General features: G+C 35.7%; 3 annotated features.

Moving 5' to 3' along the window:
- Window positions 10,439–10,989: an enhancer, noted in NCBI's record as "NANOG-H3K27ac hESC enhancer chr2:227342641-227343191 (GRCh37/hg19 assembly coordinates)". NCBI's record gives its function as "activates a minimal SCP1, AML or CMV promoter by ChIP-STARR-seq in naive H9 embryonic stem cells {active_cell/tissue: H9 hESC(naive)}" and the evidence as "EXISTENCE:reporter gene assay evidence [ECO:0000049][PMID:30033119]".
- Window positions 10,627–10,921: a silencer, noted in NCBI's record as "tiled region #10671; HepG2 Repressive DNase matched - State 5:Enh". NCBI's record gives its function as "represses a minimal TATA promoter and a strong SV40 promoter by Sharpr-MPRA in HepG2 cells {active_cell/tissue: HepG2}" and the evidence as "EXISTENCE:reporter gene assay evidence [ECO:0000049][PMID:27701403]".
- Window positions 16,444–16,945: an enhancer, noted in NCBI's record as "NANOG hESC enhancer chr2:227348646-227349147 (GRCh37/hg19 assembly coordinates)". NCBI's record gives its function as "activates a minimal SCP1, AML or CMV promoter by ChIP-STARR-seq in primed H9 embryonic stem cells {active_cell/tissue: H9 hESC(primed)}" and the evidence as "EXISTENCE:reporter gene assay evidence [ECO:0000049][PMID:30033119]".

Genomic DNA, 18,680 nt, shown 5'->3' on the forward strand with positions numbered 1-18,680 from the left:
CATCCTGCCCCAGCCGTGTTTGTCTCCTTGCCGTTCACAGAACATGCCAGGCATTTCCTTACCTCAGGGCCTTTGCACTTATTGGAAGGAATTAATTGCTTCCTCATCTCCTTTAAGTTTCTGTCAAAATGTCCTCTTCTCTATGAGGCTTACCTTCCCATCCCTTTTCTAGCAGTGCTTACCCCTCCTGTGCTTTATTTCTCTTCATAATCCCTGTTTCCTTCTAACAGGCTATGTAATTTACAAGGTTATTAGTTCCCTAAAGGCAGAATGGTCTACTTTATTTGTTCGTTTGTTTTATTGTTGAATACCAATTATGTAGAATAGAGTGCTGCAATAGACTGGTCATCAGTAAGTGGTTTTTGAATGAATGGATGAATAAATGAGTCAGGTCTCTAAAGGTGAACAATAAGACAGAGACTGTGTTTGCTGTAGACCAGAATGGGTTACAAAAGCTCGGGCTGTCATGCATCAAGACTCATGCCTGCAAAAATTATACAAAATTATACAAAACCAATAATTGTGCTTTTGCATGGGGAAAATTTTTTTAAGTGTCCTCTCACCTGAGCCAGTTTTGCAAAGAAAATAGACAAAATAGATCATTTTTAACTGAGAAAATACAAAATGTTCTTCCTTACATAGTACTACAGAGGGTCTCAACAGGGCAAGCTAGTTTAATGATTTCTCAGAGTTTCACCATTTATCTCTAAGTCTTGGGATCTGAGATGGCTCTCCCCTACCCTCAATATTAGTATCACTGTCCTTACTCTTTATAACTGCAGGTTCCTAAATTTTATCCCCCAAATTTAACTTTTCTTTTCCATTTTGTCATCACATGACACACACAAAAATTAAACTATTTCCTAAAAATGACACAGGTATTAAGGTCATGAATCCAAAACCATATATATAAGAAAGCAAAACTAGGACAAAAAGAAGATTTATTAGATACTGTGCATAAGGTATCTTCAAACATTTCATAATGGACCAGATAGTAAATAGTTTAGGTTTTGTGGGCCATATGGTCTCTGCCTCAACTACTTAACTCTGCTACCTACCATAGAGCAAAAGCAACCATATATAATATGTAAATGAATGAGTATACTTGCATTCCAATACAGCTTTGTTTATAAAAACAGGTGCATGCCAAATCAAGCTGCTGAGCCGTTGTTTGCCTGCTCCCGCCGTGTGGCTTCCCCATCCATCCAATCATTATTTCAAGGGTTGACACTGCTTCTTGAATGAATAAAGCTATCTACATATTTTGTATTCAGAGCAATTTGTGGGCAATTATAATGACATTGTTTCAGAGTTTATGAGTTCTGAGTTGTGCTCAAATCATTTAACTTGCCTTCCCAGAGAAAGTGCTGAAGAACGTTAGAGGCAGCAAATGGGAAAGCTGCAAGAATTCTATGGAATATTCTCAAAAGGAAAATGCAATGAGTCCACTTATACAAACAGACATCCATATTTATATAAAGTGGATACTTTGAATTTGTGGAATGTTCAGAAATGTGTTTATACACCTTACTCTAATTTTCTGTGAATATAATCATTGAGACTTGGCAGTTAAAACACAAAGATCAAATTTGTAGCCATTAGAAAAGCTGTAGAAAGTTACTGTCCCAGGTAGATAGAAACAGTAAAGATGGCCTTCGTCATCAGAAGTAAAGATGAGTTAAAATAGATTTGGGGACTATGTAGTGCTTTTACACCCACTGACCTTTGCCCCTTTAATTTTCACCAGTATATGTGGTATGACAGAAAGTGGCATGACAGAAAATATAGCAGAGCCTGACATGAGAAACATTTTGTGAGTTCAATGCAGTGGTTTCAGGAAGTAACTTTTTATGTTGGTGGTAAGAGAATAAAAGTGAAGAAACAGACTGGTAAACTTACCATGTTCCAGGCAGTGCCCCAAGTGCCATATATATATTCATTCACTTAAATGAATATATATATATATATTCATTCACTTAAATGAATATATATATATATATTCATTCACTTAAATGAATATATATATATATATTCATTCACTTAAATGAATATATATATATATTCATTCACTTAAATGAATATATATATATATTCATTCACTTAAATGAATATATATATATATTCATTCACTTAAATGAATATATATATATATATTCATTCACTTAAATGAATATATATATATATTCATTCACTTAAATGAATATATATATATATATTCATTCACTTAAATGAATATATATATATATTCATTCACTTAAATGAATATATATATATATATTCATTCACTTAAATGAACATATATATATTCATTCACTTAAATGAACATATATATATTCATTCACTTAAATGAACATATATATATTCATTCACTTAAATGAACATATATATATTCATTCACTTAAATGAACATATATATATTCATTCACTTAAATGAACATATATATATTCATTCACTTAAATGAACATATATATATTCATTCACTTAAATGAACATATATATATTCATTCACTTAAATGAACATATATATATTCATTCACTTAAATGAACATATATATATTCATTCACTTAAATGAACATATATATATTCATTCACTTAAATGAACATATATATATTCATTCACTTAAATGAACATATATATATTCATTCACTTAAATGAACATATATATATTCATTCACTTAAATGAACATATATATATTCATTCACTTAAATGAACATATATATATTCATTCACTTAAATGAACATATATATATTCATTCACTTAAATGAACATATATATATTCATTCACTTAAATGAACATATATATATTCATTCACTTAAATGAACATATATATATTCATTCACTTAAATGAACATATATATATTCATTCACTTAAATGAACATATATATATTCATTCACTTAAATGAACATATATATATTCATTCACTTAAATGAACATATATATATTCATTCACTTAAATGAACATATATATATTCATTCACTTAAATGAACATATATATATTCATTCACTTAAATGAACATATATGTATTCATTCACTTAAATGAACATATATGTATTCATTCACTTAAATGAACATATATGTATTCATTCACTTAAATGAACATATATGTATTCATTCACTTAAATGAACATATATGTATTCATTCACTTAAATGAATATATATATATATTCATTCACTTAAATGAATATATATATATATTCATTCACTTAAATGAATATATATATATTCATTCACTTAAATGAATATATATATATTCATTCACTTAAATGAATATATATATATTCATTCACTTAAATGAACATATATATATTCATTCACTTAAATGAATACATATATATATTCATTCACTTAAATGAATACATATATATATTCATTCACTTAAATGAATACATATATATTCATTCACTTAAATGAATATATATATTCATTCACTTAAATGAATATATATATTCATTCACTTAAATGAATATATATATTCATTCACTTAAATGAATATATATATTCATTCACTTAAATGAATATATATATATTCATTCACTTAAATGAATATATATATTCATTCACTTAAATGAATATATATATTCATTCACTTAAATGAATATATATATATTCATTCACTTAAATAAATATATATATATTCATTCACTTAAATGAATATATATATATATTCATTCACTTAAATGAATATATATATATATTCATTTAATTCTTAAACAACTCTATGAGGCAAACATGAAGTCCCAAGTGTCCAATGTCCCAACTTTCCAAGTGAAACAATTGGAGAACAGATATGTTAAATAATTTCCCAATATATCCTGCTAGTTAGAGACAAGCTGATATTTAAACTTACAGAATATGGTTCTGTAGCTCATGCTTTTATTGACTTAACTATACCGCCTCTCAACAGTTAACAGGTTAAAAGGACATTTTCAATTAGGAAAATGTTAGCCCACTAGAAAGCAAAATTTTTAAACCAACTGGAGAAAGTTAAGAAAGTAAATAAAGCAAAATTTCCAGAAAGACATATTCAGGTATAATTTTAATTGTAATCTTGGAAGAGAAAAGAGACATTTTGAACTAAAACAGAAGGAAAGACAGGCTGGGATGAAGATCAGGAAAACTACAGTTGCTTCCACCCAAGTAGAAGTGGAGAAATTAACAGCTGGCCAGTGGACACGGGGCAGGAGCCTGGAGAGTATGGAAACAGCTTGAAGTATCTCCTGTGGAAAACTCGACAGGGTCCCCAAAAAGCTAAAGCTAAATCAGATGATCCGCTCAGGGCCCAGTGGGGGCCAGGTGCCACAGACTCAGTTATCTATTCATTAAGGCAATTTCTTTAGTGACCTGTTAATTTAACCTATGTCATCTATTATAAATTCAAAAGTTAGAAATTGTATCCCTTTTTAAAAGATCCTATATGTCTGATTATCACTAATTCAGACTGATCTTCTCCCCAATCAGTCCACATCTTTGATATTTTCTCTACTTACTATATTTCATCCGTAAGACACAGATTTCTTTCAGATTTTGACATCTCAGAAATCTAGATGTCTTAAACTCAATGATGAAATTGGGAGGATTTTTCTCCAGTGGGAAATGAAAGAATGATATATCTGACAATCTATGGTGATTTAGATTGGATGAACCACATCATTTACTTTGCCTCCAATTAATGTGAACACTTCCAAGCCAAGGAAAGGCAAGACATTTAACCTCAACACTACTCAATATTTCCCTAGCTTCTTATCCTATCTAACACATTTCTATATATTCTTTCCATTCATGTCAATCCTAAGGTGACAGATGTTTATTATCCCTTCCTTTCACAGATGAGAAATCCAGGATTCAGAGAAGTGAAATTTCCTGCACAAGGCCACTGGCTGACAGAGCCAGCAGCCTAATGAGGTCTTCTGGCACCGGCCTCTGCTCATCTGACTACCTACTATGATTACTCTTAGGCTTTTGCTCTGAATAAAAGTCTCACTACCCTACATTTCAACTAAGGTCTGAAAACTACCTGTACAACTTTGGTTGTAACTGACAACCTTTTACTCAACAATGTAGAGAAATAGCATATATAAGAATCTTACTCCAAATCACCTTTTAATCCCAAACAATAATAAGAGGCTGAAGCTGCCTGTAAAACTACTTTCTATCCTTTTGATTTTATAAGCCACAGACAACATCAAAATTCCAGAGTCCATTTGCTGATATGTAGAAGCCTTCTTGTGTGCAACAAAACAATTAAAAAAAACAAAACAAAACAAAACAAAAACCACAAAGATCATGCAGAAAAAGTGCTCTGCAAAATTGAGGCAATATTTCAAGCTGATGCAATGAATAAAGACAGCCAATGTCAGTCAACAGCCAGTGGAAAAATAACCCTCAACTTCAGATTCATTTGAAGCCTACCAGAAAGACAGAGTGAAATACAACACAAAACTGTCACAAAAGTCTGTTATTTATAGAGAATTGAATTAAATATGACAATTGACCAATAGAATTATAATAGTTAACTCTTCCTTTCAGGCATCACAAGATGGTGTTTACCTTACATTACCCAGAAAATGGACTGCAGATGATGATGAACTTCCCTCAGATTAAGAAGCAGCCAACAAACAAAACAATCAAACTTCCAAATTACAGTCTGGCTGAAGAATCAGAATTATTTTGAGAGTTTGGCAGCTAAAACAAATGAACTCAAAGCCATAGGGTTAGCAGGATATATTTGGAATGAGGGTCTAATTGCAGCCAAAGAGAGACAAAAGGCCAAGGGAGATGCTAGAGAAAGAGGGTAGTAACAAAATTTTTTAATACACTCAGTCACATGGACACTTAACCAAGTTCTATTACAGTCTCATGCTATTAGACACTAAAAGGTATTGCTAAGGAATAGTAAATAAAACAGTGTGGCATTAAGGCAGGGATAGATCCAACATAGGCAGAATATGGTAATTTAGCCCAAATCAATGGAGACAATATTTATTCATGAACAATTGGTTTTGGAACAATTGGCCAGCAGTTTGGAAAACAAGGTAAAACTGGATCACCACTTATTTCCTTAAAACAAAATAAATTCCAAAGGAAACAGAAATCAAAATCCAAAAATTAAAACAAGAAGAATTATAGGAGAATATATAGGAAAATACTTTTATAATCTTGGAAAAAATGCTTTCTAATAACATCAAAAATAAAAAAAGCAGTTATTTATATAAGAAATGACCATTACATTTAACTCCGTAAAACTGTAAAGTTTCTGCAGAGAAAAACATCTTCACAAACTGGGTTGAAGGATAAATGACAACATGGAAGAGCAATTTTTCAAATACATATCCAAAAAAACAAAATACCAATTTTTTTAAAAGTTCCTGAAAATAAAAAAATTTAAAAATAAAAAGGCAAAAGCTAATTTAAAAGGCGCTTCTCAAAATAAAGACTAAAACAAATGAATCTGCATGAAGAATCTTAGTTGGGTGATAAAAATATTCTAAAATTGGTTTAGGATGATGATTATATAACTTGGTAGATTTACTAAAGAAAAGGCAATCATTGAATTGTACACTTGAAATGGGTGAATTATATGATATGTTAAATATGCCTCCATCAAGTTGTTAATAAATGACCAATAACAATTAAAATAGATGTTCTTCCTCATTAGTATTCAAAGAATGCTAACAATGCTTTTTCAATGTTCTCCTCCCTAAGCCTCAAGGAAACCACATGGTGCTGGTTTTCTTCAGGCCTCTCTGATAGCTCCTCTGTGTCCTCTGTTCATTCCTTTACTTCTAGAGATGGCCATGCCTTAGGCTTCTCTGTGAACCTCCTTCCCAGTTTATCACATTCCCTCCCTAGGAGTTATCACCTGCTGAGGTTCTGCAGCAACACAGCAACATATTATAAAACAACATTCCAGACCTTCTTCCTAAGCTCCAGAATTGTGTATCCAACTTCCTGCATGGCTGCACACCACTTGGCTGAATCACCAATAGTCTTCAGTCCCATTTCTGCCCCTGCTCACAATTCTTCTCAAGAAGTCCCTCCTCTATAAATGGTATCTCTATTTTCCCACTTGCTCATGGCAAGACTCAGATTTATCCTAGGTATATTTCTATCCCTTGTGTAACCCATGGAATCCATTTCCTATTCCTATAAAATCTGTGTCAAAAAATGCCTTTCGGTTCCATTTACTACTCTGCAATTTTACAGTAACTTTGCAGTTCAAACCATCATGATCATCTTCCATTGAACAATTTCAAAAGTGTTCTAATTGGTTTCCACTCCTACTCTGTTCCTCACTAAACTATTCTCCCAAAACTGAAAACATGATTTTTTTAATGCAAATAAGATTTTTGAGGTAGACACCAAGGTGCACCACTCAGATCCCCCTTCAATAAAGACTTGTTGTCCATGGGCTGAGAGTGTTGCCAGCCCCTTCAGGGTTGTTGCAGCTGCAAAGAACTGCCTTGACCCAGGAGGTCACACTCCATCCTGGGGAGGCCCTCATCCAGTGATTGGTCAATGTGAAGGTATAAAAGCCCAATCATCTCAACCCAACTGGGGACCCCCCTGGAGAACCATTATAGTTCCACTGCTCCTCATGGGGTCAACCAAGGCTGTCACTGGGCCCAAACCCCAGTGCCCCTTATCTCTCTGCCCAATCCTTCTTCCTTCTCCTGCTTCCACATGTGTTAATCCAAGACTAGTCCTTCTAGTGAACATCCTTCTCACCAGACTCTGGCTCAAATTGCATCCTCGGGAACGCTATCTACAAGACTTTTGAAACCATGTGATGGGTTCATTTGGATCCTACTGATCCAGACACATTCCTCCCTTCCACTCTCTTGCCCTATTCTGCTGCATGTTTGTTTTCAAATATACCAAATTCCTGCAGTTCTCAGAATTATTGTGTTTGGTGGATCCAAAATAAGGTTTCAACCCTATGATGGCATCCAAACTTCTGTAGACTATGGTATAGAGACCACTCATAGATAACACATTTTTTCACTTTACATCCTTCTTAGAGGAATGGCTCTTAGGTGTACATTCTCTATAGCACCTGGCACAGAGCTTTGCTCACAAAAGATACTCAATAAATAAATAAAATGTGTGTGGATTAGGTTACTTGGCAGCAAATACTCTGTTGCAGGACCAAATCGCTGTCAACAAGGGCATGCTCAAAACAGCTCTTCTACTAGAACCAAAGCAAAACTCCAGAGACACGAGAGACAATTGACATATAAAATTTACAAATGTCTTCTATGGTTGAGATCAGAAATTCTTTCAAGGAAAACTAAAGCACAACCTCAGCAGTGACTCATACTCAAGGTATTTAAGGAAGTAGCAAGAAGTACATTGGGCTGTCTTTTCAACTCCAATTTATCACATCTCAGAATCTCCCCTTTACGAAAGATTTATTCTTGAACAATTCCATACTAAATCTTTCCTCTTCTCCTGTTGAATCTTTATGCAAGTAGAGTCAAAGACAAAGAATTCCTTTTTCCACCTATTCATAGAATATCCTTTCTAATCCCAAGGCCCCTTACTTAATGCCATTTTTCTATCCATTCAGGATCCCTATGAACAAACTCCTATGATTCCAGTTTGTGTGTAAGTACACATAGTTAATTATGATGGACTATACATTCCTGAAGCTAACTGTGGCCACTTTAAGAAGAACCTCCTTCCAAAAACAAACAAACAAACAAAAAAAACAAAAAAAAAAAAAAGAAGAAGAACCTCCTTCTTAAAAGGCCCTTGGAAAGTAAGTATAGTGATTTAAATAACTAGCTGGGTGTGGTGGTTCACACCTGTAATCCCAGCATTTTGGGAGGCTGAAGTGGGAGAATTGCTAGAGCCTAGGAGTTCAAGACCAGCCTGGGCAACATAGGGAGACCCCATCTCTACAATAAATGAAAAATTAGCCAGGTGCGGTGGCACGTGGCTGTGTTCCCCGCTACTCAGGCAGCTGAAGTGGAAGGATCACTAGAGCCCAGGAGTTTGAGACCAACCTGGGCAACATAGGGAGACACCATCTCTACGAAAAATAAATTAACCAGGTGTGGTGGCATGCACCTGTGCTCCCAGCTACTTGGAAGGCTAAGGTGGGAGGACGGCTTAAGCCTAGGAATTTGAGGCTGCAGTGAGCTGTGATTGCACCACTGCACTCCAGCCTGGGAAACAGAGCAAGACCCTGTCTCAATAAATAAATAAAATAATTAACTAAAAATTTCAGAAAAAATAAATAATCCATTTGCTCCCAAAAGATCTCCAAGAGAATACTACCATGACCATACAGGCAGGATAATTTATCCTTGATCATGAGTAATACATTTGTCTTTGCATTTTTGTATTGGTAGATAAACAGCTCATATTATGAAAAATCATTATGAAACAGCTCTTAAAGACATAAGGAAGAGGAACATGGATAAAAAAACAGGTAGTAGAAGTTGGTGGGAGAAAAGGGATAACAGATCACCCTTAAACAAGCCAGAAACTTAATTATCACCTTTAGTTAAATCCAAACACCCAGTCTCCTGTTTCAAGGAGACCAACTCACAGAATATTTTTCATGACTAACCTTATGTTTGCAACTGAAGATTAAAAACTAAATATTATTTGACAAGTTTTTATATGACGACATAAAGAGTGGCTAGTGCCCGCTGTTGACTCAGACATTTCTGCCAACCTCTTTTGCCTGCCAAAATATAGCTTCAATAAGCACACATAAATTTTATTTTTAATAAATAACCACAAAATAGTTTCATAAACATACTAAACTGTGGATAATTGTAGCTCACAATGAGTATGTGTTACAGTTTCGGTAAATAGAAGTTACACAGTCTGAAGCTGGCACACGCTAACCCCATCGTATGGATTGATGTCAAACCAGCTCACGCTGGAACACCCTGGTGATTTTCTTGGTAAGCGGCCTATGTGCTAACTACTTGGGCTCCTGCCTTCTTCCAGCAGTCCTCCTGTTAGTCTACGCAGACATTAGGTTTCAGAGTCCTGAGAATTTAAAAGGATAGCTGAGGTCTCTGCTTGGTGTCCCAAAGGGTCTTTGCGGTAAGAAAAGTTCCTTATGCCCTGACCAACATGTAGACACCTATAATACTTTAAAATGAATAAATAAAGGGCATTTGGGGAAATAAATACTGATGTGATGAGAAGGAACCAGTGAGAATAAACTGTTCTTTCTAACTAACTTTTCTTGGAATTTACATGTTCCTTTTACTCAAAAGATCCTTTTGGAAGAGTGTATTGCCTTTTCCTCTGTTGGCAGACATTTCTTTCTCTTTTTTTATTTTTTTATTCCTTGAAAAAAGCAGCTTATTGAAAGCTTAATGAGTTTTTCTTTTCTGTGTTAGAAATCAGGTTTATTTTTAAGCTTCTTTGACCACACATGTGCTTTGATGAACTTCCCTCCCATTCGTGGAAAAGAGCTCTAGGTTCCTAACACTTCCAGCTCCAATTCTCCACATTCTCCTTCACTTCACATCGACCCCTGGGAAACTTAGAGTGAGAAAAAGTCAAAGGGGGAATTTTTTTTTTTTTTTTGTAATGTACTGAGCTTCCTTTTGAAGACGAGGAAAGAGAGTTTTATCTTCAGTAAAAACAGGCCCTTTTGTGGAAAGGAGACGTGATGACTGATCAAACAGCATTCAGCATTCCAGGGATGCCAAGATATCGCTGGGTTAAATGGTGGAGATGACCCAAAGACCCTGCGCTGTTTGAAAATAAATAAAATTACTCCGGCAACATATTCCGCATTCCTGTTTGTACTCGGCAATCTACATGCTTTAGATTCTGCCTGTGGTTACCTTCACTCAGGTCTTAGCTCACAGTTGAATTTATTCAGTCAGAATTTACTGCAAACTTCCTTATGGGATGCATGAAACTGGGCCCTAGGATGGATGGGGCAGTGTGCATGGTAAGGAGGCAGGATAGAGCAAGAGGGTGGCCCTGACACCAGGAAGTGCTCAGCCTGAGGCCTTGGAATATTGCAGAGCCATGGATTAAGGGCCTCATGGGCACAGGGAGAGAGTGACTCACTCTGCTGGAGGTTGACCTCCATCAGGAGGAATGCCTCGTGGTGTTTTGTGACCTATGAAACATTGGCAGCCTGCAGTGCTGCCGCACAATTCTGTTATGTTTTTCAGCACTGCCAAGGGTAGATTTCTCATCTTAACCTCAGTCCTCCTCCAGTCTGCATCCTTTATAATCCTACACAACCCCCAGCAATGGTTCTCTAAGCACACCCTCCCTGACTCCAGTTAACCATTTTTTCTATCCTCACCCCAAATTAAATTCAACTCTCTTTGTGTATTTCTTGTTAAACAGCTATGTGTAGAAAGCTATGCAGGACACAGAGGTGCAAGATCTTGTGCATCAAAAAGCTTATCACCCAGTAGGAGAGTTAAACACGTAAAAATTTAAGTGGAAAAAAAATGTAATAGAACTGCAAGTGCTGTGAGCACTTAGACAAGGTAGTGACACACTTTGGTTCAGCGAGATTGTGAAGTTTTCACAAAGGTTCTGGCACATAAACTGAACCAAGATGCATGGACACGTTTCCTAGAGCTCCAAGGAACAGCATGAGCAAAAGACTAAAGTTATGTGGGTAGGCAGCCAAGGGTGTTTGAATTTGAGTGTGGCCAGGGCATAGGATAGTCAGAGAAACAGAAAAAGAGCTGAAAGGGTTGGTTCGGGCCAGATCAAATCCAAATCAAGGTAAGTAAAAGTTACTCTGTGAGTAATGGGGAAGAGTTGAAGTTTTCCTAGGAAAAAAATAACTTCCATTGCCCTGTGGTTAAGAATGCTAACCCTGGTCCTGGCTAACACGGTGAAACCCCGTCTCTACTAAAATTACAAAAAATTAGCCAGGCGTGGTGGCGGGTGCCTGTAGTCCCAGCTACCCGGGAGGCTGAGGCAGGAGGATGGCGTGAACCCGCGAGGCGGAGCTTGCAGTGAGCCGAGATCGTGCCTCTGCACTCCAGCCTGGGCAACAGAGCCAGACTCCGTCTCAAAAAAAAAAAAAAAAAAAAAAAAAAAAAAAAAAAAAAAAAAAAAAAAAGAATGCTAACGCTGGAAGCAGTGAGAAGGATTGATTAGACAGGATCAAGGCAGGAGCTGGAATGGACCCATGTAAAGGACCCAATAAGAGTGAGCATAGAAGACTTTTAGATAAGAAGCCCTGTAGAGGCTGAAATAAACGTTTTCCTAACATGGACAAGCAAGGCTCCACCGTCCTTCCACTTTTCCTTTTTTAGCAATCAAGCAAGCAACCAAAGACATCAGATGTTAATAAAATGAAATGGCTATAGACAGCACTGTACAGAACCAATAGAACCTTCCACAGTAATGGATACTAGGCACTTGATGTGGAATCACTCTGACTAAAGAACTGAATTTTTCATTTTGTTTAATTTTAATTACTTTTAGTTGGCATAGCCCTATGTGGCTAATCCTACTTTATGGGACCGTGTAGCTCTAAAGAATAAAATTATATTGACTGAACCAGAGATTCAAAGCATTTTGGAAAAATTTACATTATTCTTCTACCGGCCATCAGACTTCAGTGGTGTTGCTGGATTTAGAAGATGGTGTCTACCTATCAAAAGCCCCATGTTTACATATAAGAAGATGCAGTGCCTGTATTTAGCTCAGGCATGAAAAAACTTCAAAACATTTTCACTTTCAAAAGGGATCCCTTTGAGTTGTCCAGAAGGGCCATCTTATCTCCCTTCTACTCAGGATAGCCTATCAGTGGGCAGTAAGATCATGGAGGTCAGGAAGAGGGTGACTAGTTCTCTCTGACTTCAGAGAGGAGGACCTGTCCTCGACTATCTATTTTCCAATGAAAGTTTCCCAATAAGTCATTGCCCCATTATAACCTAAGCACAGCAGAATGGCCATGGTATGTCATTAAGTGTTTTTGTAAGTTGATTTGTGGTGTTAACTTTCTGGATCATAGAAATGGTTTTCCTCAGTATTTTTTCTTCTGTAGGTTTGGAGTCAAGAATTATAATCAGTTGCTAAGACTTTGAATTCTCCAGGTAGTTATTTCAAGAACATCCTTTTGCATGTTTCTTGGAAACTGATTCCTTGTTGTGTGAATTCAAATACATTATATGTGGTGGCTACTGGCCAGCTCTCAGGGCACCTGAACTTTTTGGCACTTCACTCCTTATATTCCATTATGGAATATGGTAAAATCTCTTATGCACTAAGTAAAACCAGGATTAGATAACTTTTTACTTGCTTATCTCTCCAACAAAATATATAAGAGGAGCACTGGAAGAAATTTAGCAATTAGAGACTATTAAAATAACATTTAATTTACACATTGATTATTTCTAGTAGAACAAGTGTTTTGAAGATGGCTACAATAATATGAATCTTTGATAACCTTTAAAACAGAACAGATTGCTCTGAAACCAGATGAAATAAATAGATCTTCCTAAAGCCAAAAGGAGAAATAATGCTTTTCAAACTGTGGGCCACAACCAGCTGGGTTATGAAATCAATTTGGTGGGTCAGACCAAATTTTAAAACTAGAACAGAATAGAAAATATCAGTGTACCTCACACATATTAAAGGTAGAAAATGCTGTATTATAAAACTATCAGTTGCGTTTGTGTCAGTGTGTTCTAAGTTGTGATGTAAAATAAGTATTTTTTACAGAGTGTTACTTTACCAAGAGCTTAAAAGTCACTGATTACCAAATGAGAGGACCTGAAGTTTCTTGCTGTTGTTCTAGGTAACAAATTGTTTGTTTTTTCATTGTTCTAGGTAACAAATACTTATCAAACATCTGTTCTATGCCTGATATTGAATTCAGTTATAAGGTGAATACATGGCTACTTCCTTCAAATAATGTATCATCTAACAACATATAGATACAAATAATTATAACACAATGAGCACTATAATAGACATGAAGAGGTAGATTAGAAACATGGCAGAGGGAGCCTCTACTTCTGCATGTGACAGAATGCAGAGAGGAGACATGACAAATACTTCACAGAGAGAGTGGCATTTGATGTCATCCTTGAAAAGTGACCTGGAGGAGCAAGAGAAAGGCATTCCAAGAAAACAGAACATTTTCTATAAAGGTTGAGATGTGACTTGTACTAGGCCTGGAGTCTGGAGTGGTACTCTAAATCTTACTGCACATTTTAGTCACTTAATATAGCCTTCAAACTTAGAGATATAGTGAAAATGGAGATAGTTTATTTTCATTATGTTTGAATTGTTAGTAATACGGTGGTGTTTGATTCAGATCTTAAAACCATCGCTTTTAAGAGCAAAGCTTTTCAAATGGAAGAGTTCCTCTCAAATGGGTCAAATGTTATGCTTCCTAGGGAAGAAAACAAAATTCATTTGCATTATAACAGGGTTTAGCAAGAAGTCATGTAAGGCTCAAACTCCTTTCTTTTGCTGGTTTGAACAAAACAAATATTTATTAGAAAACAAAATCATTGTACATTGTAATAGAATCAAGAAAATTAGGTCATGCTTTGTTATAACTGTTATTGGACATAGATCATTTAACTTAATTTCACACTTAAAAATTTAAATTACATGGTAGGGGTTGGGGGGGGTAGAAATTGAGGCCCAGAACATCAGGTATGTGTGTCATGAATAATCATAAAAGGCTTTAGAGCCAATTTAGGCAATATTGATAAGTATGAAAGTATAGAATTGAAAGTACTAATTCAAAATAAAACTTTTCATTAATTTTTTTCTTGGTATTATTTACACTGACTGTGACTATATTTGTTATTTATTTCAAATCATTCTGCTTTCTTTCCTTTTCCATGATTCCTCGTAGAAGAGCTTTTAGAATAGCGTTTCAACTCACAGGCTCTAAATGATATAGCAAGATCTAACAGAACTTTATATATTAAGCAAAGTAATAGCTAAAAAGAGATCAGCAATATATTATTGCAGACTAGGTAAATAATCTTAGTAATTCTTCTAAAGGTAACATGTGAATGAGCATTCTTTCTTTGTGATAGGAAAACTACTTTAATTACTTTTCAAACAATCTCAAAGGCTGAAAATGACCCTTGTATTTTAGATTTTGAAAATTCCATGAGAATTGCCGCTGTAAAGATTTTGACATGGCCTTGAGATGTAATCTTATTCCCCAAAAGTGACTGTTATTTTATTTTACCTTTTGAGAATAATGACTTTGATTTGAAATGAGAAAATAAATAATAATATTTCTAAGCTTTGCCGTAACACAGTTTCAAAACAAAAATTAAACCGTCCTGCTCAGGTACCTATTAAATTTTTCAGGTCTTAGAAGAAAGAAGCACAGTAATTATAATTGCAGACTCTACGAAAGACTTAAAAGTCAAACAAACCAAAAAGAATCATAACTTTTTAAAGAGGTTCTCAAGGGTTTTCCAGAATAAAAAAAAGTGATTATGAGTGAGTTTGTGTTTGGATTTGATTTTCATCCTGCAGGAGTGAACATTAAACCAAAAATACATATATCTTGGAGGAAAAGCTGCAGCTTCTTTCCCCAACTGTCTGAATGCTCTAATGTCAGATTTTTCAAATTCTTCTCTACCTTGGAGGAATCAGATATTTCCAGGAGCACCAGGATGGATGCTTTTCTTTTCAGCAAGACTTCAATTGTCTACCTGTTTATATAGGAGAAGCTCTGTAATTTAATCTCCACCACAGAAGACAATCATTATGATTAAATGAGGCGCTGGTTTAACAAGGTACACCTAATAGGCACTTCTGCTCATCAGATCTTGCACAAACAACATTCTTTCATTGTGCAACATGTAAAATAACTTCTTCGTCCTGTTGTAGCCTCTGACACTAGGCACAGCATGCTACCTCTCGACTGACTTTTCACTGGAAAGCAGAAAAGACATCACTCTGTCCTAGAGACCGTGGCCTCTGTTCATGTAGCCTGTATGAAAGCAGGAAAGGGAGACATTTTTTCCACTGTTTGCACTCACTGCGGGATTTGGGGTATACCACACAACAGAGGACATGTCTCTCTAAGCACAGGATGAAAAGAATGTGCCTCAGAGAACACAGCTTTTTTGCAAACTCAATTGGTTTACCCAGTTTATATATTATAAATTTTGTCTCCATTATCCTCTTATTCAAACAGATGCATGTGCACACACACACACACACGCACACACACACAAATTGGAAGAAAGTCAGCCAAAACCAAAAAGACCCTGTAGAGAAGCAAAAGCAAATGAAAGGAAGACAAAGCTTTAAAAAGAGGAGAAACAAATGTTAAAAGGGATCACAACCCAGGTTAAGAATCCTAGAAAAGGGAAAGCAAAATATTTGAGCACCGTAAAAAGGAAAATATTTCAAAGGAGTGAAAAAACACCCAGCAGAACTGCAGTTCATGAGTGAATTTATGAACTATCACTTCCTTTCAAGCCCATAGGAGGAACACATGGATCAGCTTCTATCTCTCTCTAGTATCTTGGCTGTTTCCATGTTTTTCTCACCATATCTCACATTTTTCTTCATTTGGTAGTTTTTTTGTTTTTTTTTTTTTTCAAACCTCCCTCCTTCTCAGGAGGTGAATAGAAGGTGGCCCCTCTATAAATGACTATTATCCCTTCGGGGTGAGGAATGTGGAAGAACCATGTCAGGAATTCCAAGCAGCCCAACAGCATTAAGCTGAGGCAGAGTTGTTTGCAGAGGGAAAGCGAGAGAGCCTGGACACACGAATAATGGAGCTGATGTCCTCAGAAATCATTGCAGCTTATGTTTCCCATTTAGGTTAAAAAAAAAAAAACTGATAGAGTCACAAACAGGCACTATGAACTTCTAGCATTTCGCTTAGATACAGAACTTATTACTATGTGTTCCTTCCTTCCATTTCAGACTTTGGGGCAAGAGAAGCAGTCACCTCCCAGAATTTTTCAAATCCTGCCTTGTGCAGCAAATATCACAGCTGCACCCCTCCCGTATTATGCATTCATGAGGTAACTCACAGAGGAATGCATTCTTCCCCAAGAGCTGCTTTGCTGGAGTTTCTAGAGTAGAAAAGAATTAAGTGTAGATATGGCAGAGATCCCCAAATTTTATATTAGAAAAGAGAAACCAGAAACCAGACTTAACTGCTTTTATATGTGTGTGTGTGTGTGTGTGTGTGTGTGTGTGTGTGTGAGAGAGAGAGAGAGAGATGGAGATAAATAAAAACATAAACAGGTATAGATAGGTAGATTAGATAGATAGATATATCTAGAAGAAGATCAACAATGTATATGTCAGAGGCATGTGAACCAGAGCAACTCCATCTTGAATAGGGGCTGGGTAAAATGAGGCTGAGACCTATTGGGCTTCATTCCCAGATGGTTAAGGCATTCTAAGTCACAGGATGAGATAGGAGGTCAGCACAGGGTACAAGTCATAAAGACCTTGCTGATAAAACAGGTTGCAGTAAAGAAGCCAGCTAAAACCCACCAAAACCAAGATAGCCACAAGAGTGACCTCTGGTCGTCCTCACTGCTACAATCCCATTAGAGCCATGACAGTTTACAAATGCCATGGCAACGTCAGGACATTACCCTATTGGTCTAAAAAGGGGAGGCATGAATAATCCACCCCTTGTTTAGCATATCATCAAAAAATAACCGTAAAAGTGGGCAGCCAGCAGCCCCCAGGGTTGCTCTGTCTATGGAGTAACCATTCTTTTATTCTTTTACTCTCTTAGTAAACTTGTTTTTGCTTTGCACTGTGGACTTGCCCTGAATTCTTTCTTATGTGAGATCCAAGAACTTTCTCTTGGGGTCCGGATCAGGACCCCTTTCCTGTAACACCTATATGCGTATATATATATATATATATATATATATATATATATATACACACACACACACACACACACACATACATACATACGTGTGTGTGTGTGTATGTATATATATATATAATATATATAAAATATTTCAAAGGAGTGAAAAAACACCCAGCAGAACTGCAGTTCATGAGTGAATTTATGAACTATCATTTCCTTTATCATTTTCTATAACATATATATGTGTAAACATATACACACACATATATATATGTGTGTGTGTATATATGTATAAAATATATATAAAATATTTCATAGGAGTGAAAAAACACCCAGCAGATGGAGTGACATGGGGAAACATTTTGCTTGTTTCCCCATCTAAACTTCCCAAACAATTGGCAAGTTCAGAGCCAATTGCTACACCATTGATTGGGTTATGGAAGGCTCCAAAAATGTAAGGGGCCAACACAAGCAAAATGTTTCCCCATGTCACCCCATCTGCTGGGTGTTTTTTCACTCCTTTGAAATATTTCATATATATCATATATATATATATAAAGGTGAGATGGGGAAGCATTTTATATATATACACACACATATATATGTATGTACACACATATATACACACACACATATATATGTATGTGTGTATATATGTGTGTATATATATGTGTGTGTTTATATATAAAATGCTTCCCCATCTCACCTTTTTAATGCCCTGTGGCTATTGCGTGCATATGTCCTTTCACACAAAGGCAATATTTATGACTCACCATCAGAAAGTTACACAAAAAGTTACCTAAAGACTACCATGGATTTTCAATGACCAAATCATGACCCAACTTTTGGTCTTGCCCCTAAGGACTATATCTAGG

This window comes from Homo sapiens, chromosome 2 (genome assembly GCF_000001405.40).
Source record: "Homo sapiens chromosome 2, GRCh38.p14 Primary Assembly".
Taxonomy (NCBI): domain Eukaryota; kingdom Metazoa; phylum Chordata; class Mammalia; order Primates; family Hominidae; genus Homo; species Homo sapiens.